Source organism: Homo sapiens, chromosome 12 (assembly GCF_000001405.40).
Source record: "Homo sapiens chromosome 12, GRCh38.p14 Primary Assembly".
NCBI lineage: Eukaryota > Metazoa > Chordata > Mammalia > Primates > Hominidae > Homo > Homo sapiens.
In genome coordinates, this window is record NC_000012.12 from 52,631,439 (window position 1) to 52,653,165 (window position 21,727).

The 21,727-nt window shown below is 46.2% G+C and overlaps 1 protein-coding gene and 1 pseudogene across 1 annotated transcript; both read right to left on the reverse strand.

Moving 5' to 3' along the window:
• On the reverse strand, nucleotides 1,428-3,018 carry KRT128P (keratin 128, pseudogene; annotated as a pseudogene).
• KRT2 (keratin 2) lies at nucleotides 13,120-20,773 on the reverse strand. Its single transcript, NM_000423.3, has 9 exons — nucleotides 20,120-20,773; nucleotides 18,901-19,115; nucleotides 18,476-18,536; nucleotides 17,569-17,664; nucleotides 16,735-16,899; nucleotides 16,292-16,417; nucleotides 15,302-15,522; nucleotides 14,097-14,131; nucleotides 13,120-13,996 (listed from the first exon to the last, which is right to left on the reverse strand). The coding sequence occupies exons 1-9, from the start codon at nucleotides 20,702-20,704 to the stop codon at nucleotides 13,581-13,583; spliced, it is 1,920 nt and encodes a 639-aa protein (NP_000414.2). The 5' UTR covers nucleotides 20,705-20,773; the 3' UTR covers nucleotides 13,120-13,580.

A 21,727-nucleotide genomic window follows, 5' to 3' on the forward strand; every position in this document is an offset into this window, starting at 1 on the left:
GACCAGCAAGACCCCAGGAAGCCAGAGCCCCAGTAACTTCCAGTGGCCTAGCCGAAGCCTTTCACCAGATGTATGAGGTTAGGCAACCCTTCCAGCCACAGGGCGAATGGAGCAGGTCAACCCTGCATGCAGGATACTTCTCTGGGTGACCTTGGACCGACCCAGTCCTCCCTGCTCTCTCACTTGTAGTTCTCAAGAATAACTGCAGGATGTTCTGGGAATGCAGCATGCTGAGATAAAGGGGTCAGAGCAGCTGGGGTGCTGTTCTGGTTTCCCCTAGAAACACAGTGTCCTTCAATGCTTTAGCCCAGCACATCACATTCCCTTGGGGTATAAGACTCTGGGCAGGCTGCTTTTCAGGGTTCCTTAGCTGTAGTGTAAGTGGGATACATGACTCCATCCACTCTGGGCAGCTTTTCTAGGCTTTGGGGACCCACTCAACATGAATCCTGGGCTTCTGTTGTTCTTTGCTGTCTGGAAGCAATAAATATTTTTCCTGTAACTTGTTGCATGTGAGTGTGGTCTGCCTCGCTGGACTCAGACAAGTTAGTAACCTCTGGACAGTGAGCCTGCTTCACAAACCCCTGTTGGTGGAGGGAGGGGATCCTTCAACTTCCCTGGGCACAACCCAATGCAGAACACTTCTCTGGGTCCTCACCTTGGTCTGGTACAGGGCCTCGGCCTCAGCCTCAACCTTGCACCTTCAAATAATCTCCTTTCACTGCACCTTGACCTCAGAGAGGATGCGGACAGGTCCAGGTGCTTGTTGCTGTCCATGGAGGGCCCCACGCTAGTGTCACTGATGGTCTGCTGCACCTGGGCCAGCTCCTATGCAGCAGGGCAAGGGTTACTCCTCAGGAAACAGTCTCTCACCTTTTGGGGCTCTCAGAGCTACATCAAGCTTTCTCCTTCTTCAGTTCTCCAAGCATCCCAGGCCCCCAGGGAGCTTGGACCCCAGACTTACGGCAGCATAGAAGGCTTGGAAGAATTAAACCTCCTGCTTCAGACATCCGCCTTAGCACTGGGGTCAACCTGGACCAAGCAGGTGCTGTCGACATCCTGAAAGAAAGGAGGCAATGGGCCCCTTCAGGTTGGTCTGGGAGACTTCTACATGCACTGTCAGGATGCCAGAGGGAGAGTAGCATGGACAGGGCAAGCACAGAGGGAAGGTCAGTTCCCGTCTCAAAACCAGCAGAGTGGGTTTGCAGCCTGAACAGTGATAGCCTTAAGAAAACAGGACTTTAAGCCAGAATAAAAGGAGAGGCCTTCATTCTCATTGTTTCTCACAGGCTTGCACTTAGCCGCTGCTGACTTGGAGGTTAACTGGGCTCAGGGATTATTTATAGCTGAGGAAACCAAGCCCAGTGCAGAGCAGAGTGAATTAAGATGCTAGGATTAAGAACAGGAGTGTGGTAAATCCAGCTGCCTCTCAGCACCACAAAGTCATTTTCAGCATTTGTCCAGTTGTTGATTTCTGCTTCATATCTGGTGGGATTTAGTAGACAAGAAGACTGTTGGCTGGGCACGGTGTCTCATGCCTGTAATCCCAACACTTTGGGAGGCCAAGGCGGCAGATCACCTGAGGTCAGGAGATCGAGACCAACTTGGCCAACATGACGAAACCCTGTCTGTACTAAAAATACAAAAATTAGCCAGGCATAGTGGCAAGTGCCTGTAATCCCAGCTACTCCGGAGGCTGAGGCAGGAGAATCTCTTGAATTGGGGAGGCAGGGGTTGCAGTGAGCCAAAATCGTGCCACTGCATTCTAGCCTGGGGGATATAGCAAGACTCTGTCTCAAAAAAAAAAAAAGAAGATTGTTATGTCTGCAGATAGTCCCTTTTCCCTGTATTTCTTACACCCCTGAATGCACATCCACAAGAAATAGATTCACAAAAAGAAAACAAACAGAAAGATATCCCAAGGATTCCTGGCTGGAGAGGCTAATTCTCTGCCATTGCACTTCTTTCAGACCGAGATCTGGGACCGAATACCAGCTGTCCTACCAACCTCAGGCTCACTCACTTCCTCTTGTATTTCTCCATCGAGTCCTGAGTGTTCTTGAGCTCTACTTCCTGCCTGGTTTTCTCTGCCATGACCTGGGCCACCTGCTTCCTGAGGTTGCTGATGTAGCCCTCGAAGATGAGCTCTGGGCTAGTGGTGCAGCAGTAGCTGCCATCTAGCTGCCATCCAGCTGCCATCCAGCTGCCACAGCAGCTCCCAGTTGGTTTGCAACACCTGGTTCTGCTGCTCCAGGAACTGTACCTGGAAATAGGAACTTGAAAGGCTCAGCCCCAGAGGACAGCCATAGAGGACTTCAGAAGTCCCTGCTGGCCTGGCAAGAGTGACAAGTGATTCCAGTGTGGCATTAATTCCCACAGGCTGTGACAGAAGTAGTTTAACCCTATTATTTGCTGAGGCTCAGACACAGTCTCCTGGGGGAGGCTTGGAGAACATGAAAAACAAAGTGTGCGCCTTTCACCAGGGCCAGTTTCTAGAGATAGGGACTAAAGTGGTTGGCCTCAGATAATCTGGACCTGCACTGTCCAATACCGTAGCCACAGGCTACATTTCCATCACGGCAAACAGGCCTTTTCCGAACGTCCCTCAAGTTATCCAGCTCCGGCTTTCTAACCTCCAAGCATGGGCACTCACTTTGTCAATGAAGAAGGAAAACTTGTTGAGTTTCTTGATCTGCTCCTGCTCCTACTACTTTACCTCCTAGACCTCAGTGTCAATCATCACATCCAGAGACTCCAACAAGCTTTGGTTTATCACAACTTCCTGGATGCCTCCAGGGCAGACCAGAGAACCTACAGACCCATGCTCCCCAAAACCACTGTCAAGACCAAAGCCCTCCTTGCTAGGCTTCCCACCCCAAACTGTCCACCTCCATAGCTCCTTTGTCTGCCTCCATGGTCCCGGCCTCCAGCCATGATGATGGAGATGCTCTTTCTCCCCGCAGGGCTAACGAGACTCCAGCTGCTATAACCGCCTGGCTCAGCATAGCCTTGGCTTCGTGCCCCTCTGTGCTGTTCCACAAGAGTGGCAGCCTCTGCCAAGGCTGTGCTGCTCGTCTCTGGCACCCTCCCAGCAGCATGACCCAGCCACTACCAAAGCCTGTGCTCTGGCACCTCAAGCATACACCTGCCTGCTCACAGTGACTCCAAGGCAGTGAGTGACATAGAGAGGTGGGAAGAAGGTGTCTCCATGTTTCCCTGCCAGAATGCTGAGGTGTCACCTTATACCTCTCCTGGAGCTGGCAGTGGGCCAAAGACAAATTCATGGGTTTGGCTACCCTGACACTAAAAGTGACAAAAAAATAAATACAGCCTTCTACTTGGGAACAGTCAGTCTAGTAACTATTGCTTAGTTAGCAGGGTTTTCTTATTATGGTCTACCTGTCAACTATCTGCTGACCTAGGCAATATGAGGTGTGTATGATTATGCCCAAAAAGCTATCAGGTCGGGTATTTTCTGAGATTGTTGCTATTTCAGCACTTTTAGTTTCTACCAGAGTGATATTAAAACCAGAGATACATCTTCCTAAAGCTTTAGGACAGAGACACTGATGAATTAGAAACTGATATCTGTAAAGGAAAGTGATTTAGAGACACATACTAAATGGAATTTTCTACAGTTGGTGAGAGTTACTTCCACCTCCCTACCAAAAATATACACAGTATCCTGTATATATTTTCCCAAAACAAGTGTCCAAAAAAGGGATTAGGAGTTAACTGTGTCCACCAATGAAATATTACATAACTAATAAAAATTACTGGGCTTATGCAAACCAAAAAATTCTGTTTTAATGTTAAGTGGGAAAAGGAAAAATCAAAATTGAATAATCAATATGACCACTAAATCCTAGGCACAGAAAAGAAGGCCTAGGATAAGACTGGAGGTATAGGATGAGCAGAGAAATATTGTTTAACTGACTAAAGCTAAATACTTTAGAAAAGCATGTTCAAAAAGAAAATACATCAAAGTGTTAACAGTAGTTGTTTTGTGTAGTGGTGAATTTTTTAAATTTTCTATATTTCTATTTTTCCAAGATTAAAATAATAAGCAGGTATAATTTTTACAACAGAAGCAATCAAGCCCCATAAGGCTTCAAACTCCTCTATGGGGAGGTGAAGCAGGTCTTCTTTTAGAAACTGTGATATATATATATATATTGGAATACTACTCAGCCACAAAAAGGAATGAATTGACAACATTTGCAGGATGGGACTGGAGACTACTATTCTAAGTGAAGTAACTCAGGAATGGAAAACCAAACATTGTATGTTCTCACTCAGAAGTGGGAGCTAAGCTGTGAGGATGCAAAGGCATAAGAATGACACACAGAATTTGGGGACCCAGGGGGAAAGGGTGTGAAGGGGGTGAGGGATAAAGGACTACAAATCAGGTTCAGTGTATACTGCTTGGGTGATGGGTGCACCAATATCTCACAAATAACCACTAAAGAACTTATTCGTGTAAGCAAATACCACCTGTTCCTCAAAAACCTATGGAAATAAATTTTTTTTTTTTTTTAACATTCAAGCAGGCCAAGAACATTGGGTCCTTCTTTCGGTCACTCCATAACTATTTGGCCAGCTGCCTGAGAGAATATTCTGGGCTCAGGATTCTCTTTGTATATGTTTTATCCAGGTCAGAGAAGTGCAGACTTACTCTTGTCTTGGGCCCCTCCTTCTCTTCTTTCCCCTGAGTCCGCATACCTGTAAAGTCACCTGTGAGATGACACGCGTGCCTGGCAGGGCCCAACAGCCCCTCTCAGCTAGTCTCCTTCTCTGGATCCAGGTGAGAAGCAGAGGTGTCTTCCCCATGCTATGATCCTGTACCCTTCCTGCTTAGCCAGGCCCTACCCTGCGGTCCCACCCACTGTCTGAGTGCCCCTAACCCGGCCACTGGGGAGAGAGTCAGGCAAAGGAAGAACACGTGGTAGGATATGTGGTGGAAATGATGTGAAATGCAAGAGCCATAGCCGTGGTTTCCAATGCCAGCTCTACCACTTCCTAGTTTTGTGATTGTGGACTTTTCAGCCTTAGCTTTGCTATCTGTCAAATGTGGTGATAATGACACCTGTCCTTGCTACATAACCAAGGTGTTATACAAACTGTTCGGGGTTGGCGGGGGTGGGGGGGCAGTGGAAATAAATGTTAGTTTTTACCACTGAAATTTTACAAAGATAAATGTTTAAGTCCACATCTTTTCCCAGCAGCAGCAACAGCAACAGCAACAGCACGGGTATCATGTATTGCCCGATTATTGTGTTTCACAACTGTAAGTGCTTTACAAAGATAATCTCCTTTAATCTCCACAACAGTACTATGAGGCAGCCACTGTTATTATCTTCATTTTTTTAGTAGTGAAAACTGAGGTTTAAAAGATGAAGCACTTTGCCCAAATGACGCAACTAGTTAAGAATTAGAAACAGGATTTGAACCAAGGCCAACTGATTCAAGAGCTCAATACAGAAATATTGAGTTGGGCCCATAAATGCTGAGGAGACATGAATTGGGACCCCTGCTTGGAGGTAGTGCACTTTGAGCAGGTTTCAGGGGAAGAGAGGAAGCAGGGAGAGGGCAGTCTTATCAGGGATGAGGTGGGAGCCTCACTAGCCCCACTAAAGAGAGTTGAGAAAGAGGTCTTAGCAGGGGTCACAGAAAACCAGAAGGGGGAGAGTGAGACCAAGGTGACAGGACAGGCCAAGGCTAACGAGATTAACTATGACAAAAGTGACAGGAGGAGGGTGGGTGCCCAGGCCGAGACAGAATATAATTGTACAGTCTCCACTATTTCTTTTCTCCTCCTTTTCAGGCAATTCTGGGATTCTAGTGAAAGTCATCACCTTCTTAAAAATTTCTGATAATTTTTCTTGAGTACTCTGCATATTTGACCCCAGATAAACTTCTGTCAAGGTCATGAACTTGAGAAAGTGTTCTTCTATCTCTTAGGAAATTTCCAGTCTAAATAGGCAAAGCAAAAGTCTGCTATAAGGAGTCCCCAAGCCCTCTCTCTGCTCCCAGCCTCCCCGTGCGTCCTGGAACCCTCTCCTGTGCACACTCCGGCCCCAGCTGTTTCAGCAGGCTGCTGGCTTCATTTTCCTTAAGACCCTGAACAGAAACCTGTGGTTGCTTCTAATGCTCTGCCACGATGGCTACTTGAAAAAAATAAATCTTTTTAGTTTTTGTAAAAGAAATACATGCTTTGTACAAAAACTCAAACAATAGAACACAGTATAAGAGCACAGTGTAAAAGTTCATTCTTTTCACACTTTGTCACTCTGTCTCGTCTCAGGGCTACTGCTAGCCTATAGAGTGCATTCGTGACTATTAGACAAAGATGTTCCTTCCTCCAGACAGATAAAAAAATATTTAATGAAATGGCAAGTTGAATCCAGCAATGTATAAAAAGGTTAATATTTGGGAGGCCGAGGCAGACAGATCACGAAATCAAGAGATCGAGACCATCCTGGCCAATATGATGAAACCTCTTCTCTAATAAAAATACAAAAATTAGCTGGGCATGGTGGCACATGCCTGTAGTCCCAGTTACTCAAGAAGCTGAAGTAAGAGAATCACTTGAACCTGGGAGGCGGAGGTTGCAGTGAGCCAAGATTGTGCCACTGTACTCCAGCATGACAACAGAGCAAGACTTCATCTCAAAAAAAATAAATAAATAATAATAATAATAATAATAATATAGCATGACCAAATGGAGTTTATTCCAGGAATACAAGATTAATTTAACATTTGAAAATTAATCAATGAAATTCACTATATTAACAGAATGAGGGAGAAAAGTTATATGATCATCTGAATGTTGAAAAGTATTTGAAAAAAATCAATGTTCACTCAAGATAAAAACACCCAGTACACTGGGAGTATAGGGAAACTTCCTGAACTTGCCCATCTAACCAAACAAACAAATTTTAAAAATGCTTACATTTAATATTATAGACAATGGTGAAGAAAAATAAACGTTTCCCTCCAAGATTAGGGAAAAGGGAAGGATGGCAACTCTTGCTGCCCCCATTCAATATTGCTCTGAAGATCCTAGCCAGACCAATGAGGGGAAATAAACAATAGCAAACAGTTTGGAGAGGAGAAGTCAAAATCATCTTTATTCATAGACAACATAATTATGTACATACAGAATCCTAAGGAATCTACAAAATAACTAGTAGAAGTGACAAATGAATTTAGCATGCTCACAAGAAACAAGGCCAGTTTTTAAAACTGTGCTTCCATATATGAGCAAGGAGCAAATAACAAATTAAAATTTTTAAATACCACTTGTAATAGCATGAAAACATGAAATACTTAGAGATAAATTTAACAAAACATATGTAAGACCTGTACGCTGAAAACTGTGACACACTGATGAGAAAAATTAAAGAAGACCTAAAGCAATGGAGAGAGGTACTATGTTCATAGACTGAAAGACTCAAGATACTTAAAATGCCAATTCTCCCCAAACTGACCTATTGATTCAACATCATTTCAATTAAAACCCAGCAGTATTTCCTGATAGAAACTTACAAGCTGATACTAAACTTTATACTCAAATTCAAAAATTCAATCCCATATAATTTTTTAAAAGAATAAGAAAATCAGAGGTATTATACTAGCTTATTTCAAGACTGATTCAAGCCACCATATCAATACTGTATGTTAGAAGTGTTTCACAGATACATTAATCAACAGAATAAAGAATCCAAAAACAGACCCACACATATGTCTCCATTGATATTTGACAAAGTTGCCAAGGTAGTTCAACAAGTAAACAATAGTCTTTTGAACAACTGGTGCCCAAACAACTGGATATTTACTTGGGGGAATAAAATGAACTTGGACCCTTACCTTAGACCATACCCCAATGGCCACTTAAAATGGGGTATAGACAATGTAAACACTAGAATTATAAAACTTCTAGGATAAAAGTTTGTATTGTAGGAGAAAATGTTTGTGACCATTAGGTAAGCAAAGATTTCTTAAGACACCAAAAGTCCAAACTATAAAGAAAATTTGATAAATTAGAATTAATCAATATTAGAAAATTCTGCTGCTTGTAAGATGCCATTAAGAAAATGACAAGAAAATCCACACACTGAGTGAAAATATTGACAATACATATACCTGACAAATGACTGTTATCCAGAGTATATAAAGAACTCCTGCAACTATGTATGTCAAACTGCCCAATAAAAACTTTCACAAGATTTGGACAGACCTTTCCTAAAACATGTACAAACGCCCAATAAGAACCAAAAAAAGACACTGCACATCACAAGTCATCAGGAAAATGCCATTAAAACTACAAAGAGATAACATGCACACCCTGTAGAATGAAAAAGACTGGCAATGCCCAGTGTTGGAGAGGAGGTACATCAACCCTAAGAAATCCTAGAATAGGCAAAACCAGTCAGTGGTATCGACAAGGAGATCAAAAGTTGGCTGGGGGCATAGGGTAACTCATTGGAGTAGTGGAAATCTTCTATATAAGTATTGTGATAGAGGTTATAAGGATGTATACATTTGTTTAAAAATATTGAGGTATATGCTTAAAATGTAATACAATGCATTTTCTTATTTATAAGTGAATCCTCATTAAAGTTGACTTTAAAATAAACAGCATGCACATTCGAATGTGATCTGTAGTAAATTTTAATTTACTGGAGTTCAACAATGCATTAGATTAACTCAGCGTTCTGCACTTTGAACTACAGCTTCCCCTGCCATCTATCTTTCAATGGAAAGTAATCAGAAATTTCAAGTCTAATTAGTTACAAATATCATTACCATTTACACCCATCTATCTGTATAAATCAAGATTTTCTCAATACAGAAATATGTTGACTAATAAGATACCTTTGGATTTTCTACATATGCAATCACATCATATATTAATAAATCAGTTTTATTTCTTTCTTCCTATCTGTAGGATTTTATTTATTTTTCTTGCATTATTGCACTATTTAGGAATCCCAGTACGATGCTGAATAGGAGTAGTGACAGCAAATACGCTTGCTTGTTCCCAAGAAATGCTTGTGGGAAAAGCATTGACTTTCACCATTAAGTATGTTAGCCATGGGTTTTTACAGATGCCCTTTATCAGGCTAACGAAGTTCCCTTCTACTCCTAGTTTAAGAATCTGTTGTTGTTGTTGTTGTTTTTGTTTGTTTGTTTGTTTTTACCATGGAGGGTGTTGAATTTTGTCAAATGTTTTGTATCTATTGATACAGTCTTATGTTTTTTTCTTCTATGTCAATATGGTGAATACATTAATTCTTTGAATGTTGAGCAAGCTTTTTATTTCTGGGATACATTTTAAACATATACCTCACTATTTTTAAACAATATTTTTAAACACATGGTCATGATGTATTATCCTTTTTATATCTTTCTAGATTGAATTTGCTCATATCTTGCTGATAATTTTTGAATATATATATATATATATATATATATATATATATATATATCCATGAGGGATTTGTTCTTTAGTTTCTTCCATTAATGCTGGCCTTATAAAACAAGATGGAAGGTGTTTCTTCTTCCATCTTCTGAAACAGTTCGTGCAGAATTGTTATTACTCTTTAATTAATCCCACCTATCTGCCAGTGCCTGGATATAAAGTTATCTCATCCATGAGGTCTTCTCCGGTCCCAAAATACTGCCTGTAACTTACAATAATAATAATAATGTAACCTACAGTACTGCATGCTTATGATGGCACAGGTCCTACAGAATAAACATTTATCATTGATTTCAGTGTGTAAACCTCCAGCAATCCTCTGAGGAAGCTGTTGTTGCTACCTGTTTACAAATGAGTAAAGAAAGGCTCAGAGTTGTTAAATAACTTGCCCAGGGTCACACATTCTTTTATCTGATCATCAACTTTTCATTTAGTGCCTACTAAATTCCAAGGTGCCAGCAACTGAGCCCACCCCAGAGCCCGCTCCCTTAGCATGTCCATCAGTGCTTTCCAAACCATGGCCCTTGTGTCACCAGCATCAGAATCACCTAGGAGGTTGTTAAAAATGCAGATTTCTAGACTCCTCTGTAGTGGAAACTCAGGGAGAAGGAGGGGATGCTGGAACAAAGAATATGTATTTTTAGTAAGGGCCGCTTAATGAAATTAATGCACACTACTACATTCTGCCTTATGTTAATAGCTGTTTGCAAATTTCTCATTCTTCCCCTACTAGACCATAAATCCCTGACAGGACGCACTGTCTTATAAGTCTTGATACGCCCACGTAGCCACATGCACAACCTTGCCCACAGTCATTGTCCAACAGGCATTTACTGAACTAGAATGAAAACCACTTTGAGCTTCACATGCTCACACCTATTCACAAAGGGTCTCTCTGGATATCCTGACAGTGTCCCAAATCCCCTGTTGGGCTGAAAGGCTTTAGGAGTAAGCACTGGCTGACCCGGTAGCACAGACAGGGTTCTTTTCATCAGAGCTGGAAGGATCTGTAGAAACAATCTTGGCCACTGAAAGTCCTTAAAGTGAGGCAGAAATTGAGCCAAGAGAGGAGAAAGGACTTGCCCAGTGTCACGCAACAGTTCCCACAAAGATGAGGATCAGCATTGAAGTCTCCTCACTCCCAGGGCACTCCTTCCCCACTTCACAGCAAGAAAAGGAGGCAGGAGTGTTCCATTTAGGTGGGCTTCCTGGAGGAGGTGAGCTGTCCTGAAGGAGGTGAAATGTCCAAAGGAATTTCCTTTCAAATGACAGGAAAGAAAGAATTTGGTGAGGAAGAGAAAAAGGGTTTATTTGAATTCATACTAAAACTCACAGGCAGAGAAAGGGAGGGAACCACAAGAGGGAGGATGTCCCAAATATTCTGCAACATCATCAGAACGGAAATGTTTAACCCAGTTCCCTATGGAAATCGAGCTCGTAAAACCCTTCTGCCTGTGCCTGTCTCCTTTTTGAAGCCCAGGACCTGACAAGTCAATTACCAAATTTGGTGGAGGAGCAGCAGAGGGCCCTGGTGGGAGGGTGTGGCCCAGATTCTGGGCTACTCTACACTTCGGAGGGAAAGGAGGGTCCCTCTCCAGAGGTAGCCCCTCTCTCCAATACCTGCTTAGAGCTTGATTTCTGTCACGCCTCAGGCCTGGGTCCCTCTGAGTTAATGTACAAGGCTAATTTTACTACTGGAGTCCAGCAAGAAAGTAGCATATATATGATCTGGAAACCAGAAGGGCTGTGTCTCAGGTGGGGAAGGGATGGGGAACTGGAAACGATAGAAGGAGCTAGAGGTTCAGACCACTGAAAGTCTCAAGAATTAAGGCCGGGTGCAGTGGCTCACGCCTGTGATCCCAGCACTTTGGAAGGCTGAGGCAGGCAGATCACTTGAGGTCAGGAATTCGAGACCAGCCTGGGCAACATGGTAAAACGCCGTCTCTACCAAAAATACAAAAATTAGATAGGCATGGTGGTGCATGTCTGTAATCCCAGCTACTCGGGAGGCTGAGGCATGAGAATCACTTGAGCCGGGAGGCGGAGTTTGCAGTGAGCTGAGATCATGCCACTGCACTCCAGCCTGGGCAACAGAGTGAGACTCCATCTCAAAAAAAAAAAAAATAGAATTAAGGCTCCCCTGGGAATAAATCTGCCACCTTACCTGCCTCACCTCTTTTCCCCTCAGAAAGTTATTAGAATGGATTGCTATTCCCAAAGCCTTTTAAAAAATGAATAAATTGGGAGTGGGAGACCTGGTTTCTGTGTCCACCCTGGGCCTTACCTTTTTCCTCACCTAAGTGAAAAGTTCAAATACACTGATTACCAAAGCTCCTGTCCAGCCTCAAATGTCTGGGACCAAGTCCCTGTTAAAGGTTGTGTTCATGTCTACACTATGTACATACCCGAAAACAGCCAGCTCCTCACACCACTTCTTCCCAACCTGCACCCTCTCCCCACAGACCTCTCCCCACGACTGAGGCCTGGGTGGTTCTCAGGGACCTTCTCTGATCAGCGGATCACTTTAGAATGCTCAGCCTGGAGTCTTGCCACCTTGCCACCTGCAGCCTTCAGAGCTGTTCCTGCAGCACCCTCATACCTGGGTCCTGGCTGGTCTGGAGGCAAGTGAATGCATCTGTTCTCTATTAGAGCCGTCCCTGCAACCTCTGGGAACAGGAAGACGGTCACAGACTCAACTAAGGACTCTCCAAGGTTTTAAAGCTGGGGTGGAGTGGGAGAAAAAAGGACCCTCCAGGAGTGGTTCTGAGTGGCTTTAAGCCACAGCTACTATAACCAAACGCCACATACAGAAAGCTAAGCTGACCTAGCCTGAGCCACCAACTCCCATTTGGGCAACTCTGGCCTGTCTAACACCAACCCCAAGCATGCCCAATCCCACCTGCCCAACCATTCCTGAACTCCCTGGAAGCCCTGCTCAGGTGACATGGCCTTCCTGAGGAAGGGGCTGAAGGCATCTTCACACCCACAGGAGAAGGCCAACCTGATGGCAACATCCATGCGACAGGCCCCGGGGGCTGCGGTGAGAGAGGAGAGAAGGGCTTGTTTGCTGAGTGTGGTGGGACTCCGCTGACAGGAGGGGTGTCCTGTGAAAATAGAAGTGGCTGTTTTGGAGGCCACTTTAGAGTCCTCCAGACTCTTCCCAGGTATCCTCCTCCAGGCTTGCTCAGAGCCCCCGCAGAGACAGAGGCCAGGACCTACATCAGGCTGAGGAAGGTCTGCCTTGGAAGCTCGGAGCTTGGAAACTCACCACGATGGTGCCAGGGGCTCAGCGGTTTTGCCCTGAGGAGAAGTGATCCCGGGCCAAAGCCTTTGTGGAAAAGGGAGAGGGCAGTCTGTGGGAAATGCTCAGGAAGAATGGGTTTTTCTAGAAAAGAGACTCTTCCACAAATCTACCTGTCCACCTCCCGGCAATGCCATGGCCCTCAAGTCTGGTAAATACTTTCTGAGAACCACACACCCATCCCCAGGCTCCCATTCATCCAGAGGCTGGCGCCTGGGCTTCCCTCAGGGAGGCACGCTCCTCACCCAGGAGCCCCTCCTTAATGCCCAAACCTCCCTTGTCCATGGCTGCCCACTTCCACCAAGGTTTGACATCACGCAGACAGCACATGATATGAATTGCAAATGAGGTTTATTATGAAGACCCCCAGACCACAGCACTTCCGAAAGCAGAGTGGACAAGAGGAGCTATATACACAGAAACACATTTCCCCCCAGCACTGCCAGGCTTAGAGATGAAATCCCTGGATGGGCCTGGGTCCTCAACAGAATACACATCTGGAAAATGGGCAATGCAAAGAGGCATGGTGGGGGCGGGAATGGGCATGGCTAGAAGCACAAACCTAGACAGCACAGATTCCGCCCCAGAACACAGAGGCGTCACTGGCTCTAACTAACTGGTTTGGAGAGAAGATCTTTCAAAAACTGTATGTGGACATTCTTTTCCCTCAAAGTGCCATCAGAGATAAATGACAAAAATTTAACTTGCTGCCAGTTAGAGGTACAGAGACAGGCTTCTACATTCTGGAGTGGGAGAGTCTGGGTTGGGAGAGTCGGTGGTGGTGGGGGCTCATCTTTATCTAAAAGAGAAGGTCACGCTGGAACCAAAAGCTTCACCTGAGCTACCCTTTACAGAGCTAGAACCCCCACCTCCAGAGCCATATCCTCCTCCAGAGCTGGAGCCTCCTCTAGAGCCACCTCCAGAGCTGTGTTTTCCACCTCCAGAGCCATATCCTCCTCCAGAGATGGACCCTCCCTTAGAGCCACCACCAGATCCGTATCTTCCTCCAGAACCACCGCCAGAGCCATATCCTCCTCCAGAGATAGAACCTCCTCCTCCACTACCGCCTCTGGAGCCAGACTGTCGGCCTCCAGAGCCATAACTGCTGCTTCCAGAGCTGTATCCTCCTCCGGAACTGGACCCTCTACCTCCAGAACCTCCAAAGGCAGCCTTGGATGCCACATTTGATGAAATGGTGCTGCTTGTCACAGCTGCAGAGAGAGGTGGTGTTACCACAGAGATTATGACTGCCTCTCCCTGCCTCCACCTGACACAACACCCCATGGAACAGGACCACACCCCATTACTTACACACAGTCACATTGCTGCTGAGGTCTCCAGACATCCTGTAAGGGAGAGAGAAAAAACAAGTTGTGGTGGAACACTTAGGTTCTGTATGCATGTTGTTTTACCACTTCCACCCGCAAATGTGCAGTTTAGCCTCTCTAAGCAGCCACCAGGGCTTACACACCCCACTTTCTTCTATGCTGCCAGGTCACACAATGACGACAGACCCCCTTCCATTTATGCACAACCTTGCATGTCAATCCCTCTCAATTTTTGCTCTGATAAAAAATGAACAGTTGCGTGGTTGATCCAAGGTCACTGAAAAGCAAATTCACTTCCTACTTTGCAACCCATTTGTGTATTTAAATCCATCTTGGAGAGTCTGTTATTCAGAATCCATGCCACATCAGAAATTATACAATGAGGCTGCCTGTGAACATTCAGTTCAGAAAGAACTGTGACTCTGTAGAGCCTCCCCATTCCTCTCTTCTTCCCACCCTCTTCAGCTTCAACTGAAAACTTTCCCACTTCCTCTTACAAGCTGGGCATAGGAGGCATTGCCTCTAGACAGGGACAGAGCAACCTCCTGAAGAAAGCCACTCCCTGTTTGTCATGCTGGCTTGCTGATGGCCTGGGGTAGCTTTTCCCCTTCCAATTGCTTCAGCCAGATTAAGTCACCCAAGATGCTGATAATACGGACAAAGGTCTCAGACTACAGAGGAAGCAAAGGGTGCCTCTTTGAAAGTTAGCAAATGGTTCCATTTGTCACTCCAGAAACCTGCAAAGAACTGGGGCTGGCACCTGCTCCGGTCAGCACGTCCCCACCAGTCAGCACATTCCGAGACATCATCTCCCCCATTCTGGGTCACCCGGTGGAGGGCACAGAAGCCACTCACCCTATGGACCTAGAGACCAAAGTTTCAGACTGTCTAGGACTAACCTGTTTTCCCATGATTTTGTTTTCTCTTTCAGAAAAGACCAGGATGTTTAACTTACTGCTTAGTTTAATTTAATGTGCCTTATGCATCATTTCATGTTGATAAATGTGTAACTCTCCAATCATGCTTTATGTCCTGAGTTTCTGCTTGGGGAACACAGAGAATGTCAGTTCTCAGTTGTCAGGAGGGCCTGCCCCATTCTCTGCTTTCCCTGTCTTTGCCTCCAGCCCTGGCTCTGGGAGAGATGAGAGGAAGGGCCAGGGTCCCCTTCTCCCTTCCCAGTGCCCTCACCTGCACTCCTCGCCCTCCAGCAGTTTGCGGTAGGTGGCGATCTCCACATCTAGGGCCAGCTTCACGTTCATCAGCTCCTGGTAGTCACGCAGCAGCCGCGCCAAGTCCTCCTTGGCCTGCTGCAGGGCCTCCTCCAGGTCATTCAACTTGTTCCTGGCATCCTTGAGGGCATGCTCCCCACGCTGCTCGGCATCTGCGATGGCATCTTGCACATTCTTACACTATGACAGAAGGACAGAGAATGGATTCTGCCTGACGGAGGCGGACAGAGAGCAGAGGTGTTCGAAGTGCAGGAAGCCAGAACCACTGGCCCTGGGAGTGTTAGGTCCCCTCTGGAGTTTAGTCGCAAACAACTGTGCTAAGACTTGCCGCTGTCTCTGGCACATCTTCTTCCCATGTCACCGTTGATGACACCCTTTGGCTTTCCCCATAGTGCCCTTTGATCCTCACATCACAGGGCCTGAATCATGATCCCATTTTACAGATGGAAATGAAAACATTTGAAATGGTCTGCTTGGCAAAGCTTCTGCTGCTGATGGAATCCACTCTCTGCCTCTACCTTTTCTATTCCAAAGCTAACGTCCAGCCCCAGGCCAGCTGCCCTCAATACTCACTGCCCCTCTATGAAACCAGTCGGCTGGTGCTCAGGGCCTGTGCTGAGCACAAACGGGAAGCTCCATCGGCAATCTGCAGCAAATCAATCAAACTAACGTTTGCTCTATTTGTTATGACTCCCTTTTCCTCATATAAACAAGTGAGCACAATTCTTTCCCTTCGATAATCCTTACTTTGGAATGTCTATTAGAGCACTCTAAGAATTGTTATAATAAGCCATAAATTATGTTAAGCTGGGGAATTTGGGATCGATACATGCTAGAGTGCAATATCTCAGTGTCTCTCATCTCTCACATGCACACTCACACACAACCACACTCTCACGCACACCCAGAGACAACCTCCCGCCCCTCGCTGGACAGGGCTGGGCCTCACCTGCTTCTTCACATGTGCGATCTCCCCCTGCAGCCTCTGGATCACGCGGTTCAGCTCGCTGATCTCTATCTTGATCTCTTTCAGGCTGTCTCCATGTCTCCCGACAGTCACCTGGAGCTCCTCATACTGATATGGGGAGAAGAGGACAGTTTGCAAGGAAGTTCCAGCCTGGCTCACATTCCAGACTGACTGGAGTGAAGGAGAGCTGGTTACTGGTCCAGGGAGGGTCAACCCAGCTAAATGTCATGGCTGCATTCATGAGAGGTAGGGACTGTCTCACATGCCCAAAAGGACTTGGTGCCATTCTCAACATCCTTTCTTGGGAATGGTGCCCAACTACCATTAAACAAAAAACCAATAACCTTACTGTACACTTTCCAGCTGGGGGTGCAACCCAGCTCATGGCAGGGAGCTGTGGCTCTTCCTACATTCCCTCTACTTGCCTTGCTGTGGTACAGGGCCTCCGCTTCTTCCTTGCTCCTCTGGGCGATCTCCTCATACTGGGCCTTGACCTCGGCGATGATGCTATCCAAGTCCAGGTTGCGGCTGTTGTCCATGGAGAGGATGACGTTGGTGTCAGTGACACTCTGATGTATCTGGGATATCTCCTACAACACACAGGAAGGTCTGGTCATGACATCCTGCCATAGCTACAGGCAGACAGGAGGCCTCTGTCTCCCAGCATAAGGGAAACGCAGACCCTCAGACTAAGCATACACTAGGTGGGATGAAAATCATGTAACCGTCTACTCCTGGGCCTCTCCCAAGGTTGTCCTGAGAATTGTAGTGAGAGGCACCTGTATTTCTGAGCCTCCTAGTTAACATTCAGCACTTAAGCCAGTTATGGTAAGTGCCCCCAGACAGAAGCTTGTCCATGGCAAATACCTTAAATGGACTTCCTGTTTCAGAAATCATCTGTGCACCCTTGGGTTGGGGAGGGGGATAGGAGACAAATGCATTTTGACCTCTGAAGTACAGTAGGCACAGGAATGGGCACAGGGCTTGTCTCTTCCCCAGGGGAAATGGACATCTGGGGAATGGAGGGAGGGGAAGCTGTCCTGGTGTTTCCTGAACCTTATTCCCATAACATCGGAGGAGAAAATTCCTCACCCACAAGACCTATGCTATGAAAGCCCCCCCAGTGGCCTGGAATGATGGCAGATTGAAGTCAGCTGGTCCATAAACCCCACTTCTGCCACTTTTTCACCAAGCAGAAAGGACTTTCATTTGGTGAGAAGGGTGGGAAGTAAGGGACTGTCCCGGAGCAGCCTCCTTACCGCATCATAGAGAACTTTCAGAAACTCAATTTCCTGGTTCAGCAGGTCCACCTTGGACTGCAACTCCACCTTTATCATGTAGGCATTGTCCACGTCCTGCAAGAAAGGTTGAGGCCTCTGGTGTATGGTTCCCTGTACAGGCCTCTTCCTCTCTCTGCCACTCCCCTCTACTCAGTCCCTGCTGGCTCCTCTCTAAAATCCCAGGCTCCCCAACCTGATCCCTGTCCCCATGGGACTTCTTTTGTCGTGCAGTTTACCATACACCTCTGCCAGGGACTTCATGCCTACGTCCATGGCTCACAGCCCTCAGGACCATCAGAGCCTCGAGATGACCAAGCTTTGCCAACCAGCCCCTCTCTCCTGCTTGAGACACTGTGTGTTTCTACAACAGGATACGATGTTCTTTGTGGGTTTCCACAGTCCTCAGCTCTCTCATCCCGTCTGTCCATCTCACCTCTCCGAAATTTCCCCAGAATATACACCAAAGGCCCTGCAGGACCCAGCAGGAGAACCCTTGCTTTTGGCCTACAACCTCAAACCTTTGTCAGCACAACCAACAGCAACTTTAAGCAGGCATTCTAAGGGAAGTCCCATTCCTTCCTCAGCTCTTTAGAAGGAGAATACAAAGAGATTTTTGTGTTTGCATTTATCATGATTCAGTAGAGGCTTTAAGTGGGTTACTACTGGGAAGCACTCTACCAAAAATGCAGAACAGCTTTGAAAACTGTATCCAGAAGCTTGACCTACAGAGACAATTTTGTTTGCAAGAGAATGTGCCATGGGTCTCACTCCTTTCTCTGGCTGCTGCTTTTGCACTCACAGTTGATTTCCAAACTGGCTGCTTAGACACAATGGGGCTGTGAAGCACTCCTATCCCCACCCCCAGCCAAGACATTCTCTCGCTCACCTTTTTAAGCGTCACAAAATCATTCTCAGCAGCTGTGCGCTTATTGATTTCATCCTCATACCTATTGGGACACAGATGTTACAGCAGTTAGATTAGTTCCCCTTCATTTTTTTTCTTTTCCTTTTATACTGGATTCACCCCAAATGCCCCATTCTCTGGGAATATTACACACTTTTTAAATATCTAAATTGAAACTAAGATTTCCAAACTAAAGATATATTTTTATAAACTAACTCTCAAACATACAAAAGACAAAAATGATCTCTAAAGTCTCACTGTCTTCCTCACAAATAATCAACAAAGATACATATGCCTCTCCCCATTACCACCACAAATGCAACTGGGAGATGAATGGCTTTCCAGGGAGTGATCAAATGGCTCAGTGCAATGTTTATCTCCACTCAGCGTTTCACTCTGCCACCTACTTCTTCTTATAATCCTCCACAAGATCCTGCATGTTATTCAGCTCTGAATTCTGTGATGTTCTTTCTGCAGTGAGCCCATCCAGATATCTCTTGAGGCTGTCGATATACCCCTGGAAGATGGGCTCCAGGTTGATGGGGCGGGTGCCAACATTCATTTGTTGTAGCAGCTCCCATTTGGTCTGTAACACCTGGTTCTGCTGCTCCAAGAACCGCACCTGCCATGACCAGAAGGAGAGCACATGAGTTCTAGATCATCCTTCACACCAAGCAAGCCACGCTGGCCAGGGGCAGCTCAGGTGCTGCTTCAGGACCTCGAGAAGTGTCTGAGGCTGGATGCCGAGTCATGACTGGCAGAGCTTCTGAGCTCCCTGCTTTCGCCCCTGGAAAGTCCCACAGACTCCTAATGCTACATCCGGCTCTCTCCACGCAGAGGAGACTCTTTGCTGCTTCACTGCTCACTGGTTTGTTTGCAGCTGCTCCCAATACTCTAGACCATTTCCCTCCCCGCATCCTGGTTGAATTTCCAGCCAAGATCCCATAAATTCTGGGGAAAACCGAAAGCAGCCATCTGCTGGCACTGCTCGCAAGGGTGCTGAGTATGAGAGTCCCAGAGGGCAGGGCTCCTCAGCCTGATTTTTAAGAGCCTTGTAAATCCCTGCCTATTTCAAGGCAGATAAACCAAGACAGGTTCGTCTGCCTTGAAATAGGAGAAAAGCCAGTAACACTCCGAAGTGACACCAATAAAGACTTTATGGATCACAAAACTGAGAACGCTTCTCTTGAAGGCAGGAATTTCCTGCATTCCCAAGCAGATATTTCAGGTTCAGCTTCCCAGAGTTTAGTAATCACTGCTAAGGAAGGAAACACTATCTCAGAAGACGATGGCTTCCAAAACCTGCTGCTCCAGTGGCCTGTCCCAAGGATCAGTTCAATACTTGCCTATATCCATTTTTTATGGTTTTCAGAATTTTCCATAAATATTATTTATATGGACTGTAACAATAAGGTCAAAGGGACAAATGCTTCCTAAGTGCAGGCTGTTATGGGAAATGTAACCCACAAAGCTGGCGTCTTTTCCATCTGGAAACCGCAAATGACCCAGGCTACTGCGGTACACCACTGGCTCCTAAGAAATACAAATCTGTGCCATTTTCTTTTTGGTTGGCTCTGGAAGTGAAGTGGCCTGAGCATCAGTGGGAGCCGTCTTCTCCAGAGTCACCTTGTCAATGAAGGAGGCAAATTTGTTGTTGAGAGTTTTGATCTGCTCACGCTCTTGGGCCTTCACATTCTGGATCTCTGGGTCAACTTTCACGTTGAGAGGCTGCAGGAGGCTCTGGTTGACAGAGACTTCGTGGATGCCACCAGGGTATCCTCCAGGCCCAAAGCCACCAGGACCCCCTAAACCTCCAACACCACCAGGGCCCCCAAAACCTCCAAAGCGGCCTCCACCAAAGCCGCCTCCACCGAAACCACCACCACTGAAGCCGCTGCCACCTCCAAAGCTGCTGCCGCCTCCAAAACCACCTCCTCTGCCACCAAATCCACCAGCGGCGCCAAAGCCACCACCTCCTCCAGCCACACTAATGGAGATGCTCTTGGTCCCTCCAAGGCCAACAAGACTCCGACTGCCAAAGCCGCCTCCACCGAAGCCCCCGCCACCACCACCATGGCGGCTCAAGCAGGAGAAGCTGGAAGTTGATCTCCGGCTTCCACCAGACACCACAGCTGAGCCGCTGCTGAAGCCCCGGAATCCTCCTCCACCTCCTCCTCTTCCTCGAGATTTGCAAGAGATCTGACAACTCATGATGCCTTTGTCCAGGGAGGAAAGTCACAGGCTCTTGAGAAGAGTCAAGGCTGGAGACTCAACTGTGCTGCTGGGAGGCTTTCAGGGTCCCCTTATATACCTGCCAACTAGGTGTTGTGTACATGGGTGTGGATCCACTTATACGTGGGTTTGGTCTGCCTGGGAGCTATTCCTGGTGCGTGATTATCAAGCTAATAGCCATTAAAAATCTACTAATCAGCTCCATCCCAGAACTTGCTTTGATTGCAAACTTCTGTTTATCTGGGCATCTGTCATGCAATTTGATTTTTGTAAAATCATCAAAAGAGGAGATCAGGGTTTGGGTTTCTCAATCTGGAAAAGGACCTTCTGCAGAATGCTGCTCCCTGTTCTGGACCTGCCCAAGGGAAGTCAGCTACCACCCATGCTTGTGCAGGCTCACCACCCCAGTTCAACAATGAAAGGGATGGTGGGTTTAGAGACTGCAAGAGCCCCTCAATGCCAGCCTTGTAGTTCTCTTGTAGTTTCCCTCTTTCCCAGAAAGAGCCCCAACTAGTGCAGGGGAGACTGCAAAGGTCTTAAATGACCTTAAATGCTAATTGGAAATCGACCTCCTCTTACAGAAAGTAATTGGCCTCGGATACTGCAAAAGAGGTGTCGATTTTCAAAATATCTTGGCTCTTTTCTTCCCATGCCACACCAAAAATACACAATAACTAGGCACCGAATAGAGATTTTTTATAACCATGATGGTTTGTATAACCATCAACTGTCCCTTGTCTACATGAACACCCAGAGGTTGAGAGGTATGAGAAAAGTTTCGCTGTTTCTGGACCTGTGTGATGCGGGACACCAAGTGAAAGTTTGCAAACCAAGATCCAAGTGTATATTGATTCAGTCAGTCAGTAATCACGTATTGCCTGGTGATCCTGGGAAGTGATTAGGAAGTCAGGCTCTTCAATGACATCCACAGATGCTTGAGGATAAGAAGACCATCCAGCCTGCACAGAGCACTCACACTTAAACTCAACCACTTCCTCTGTC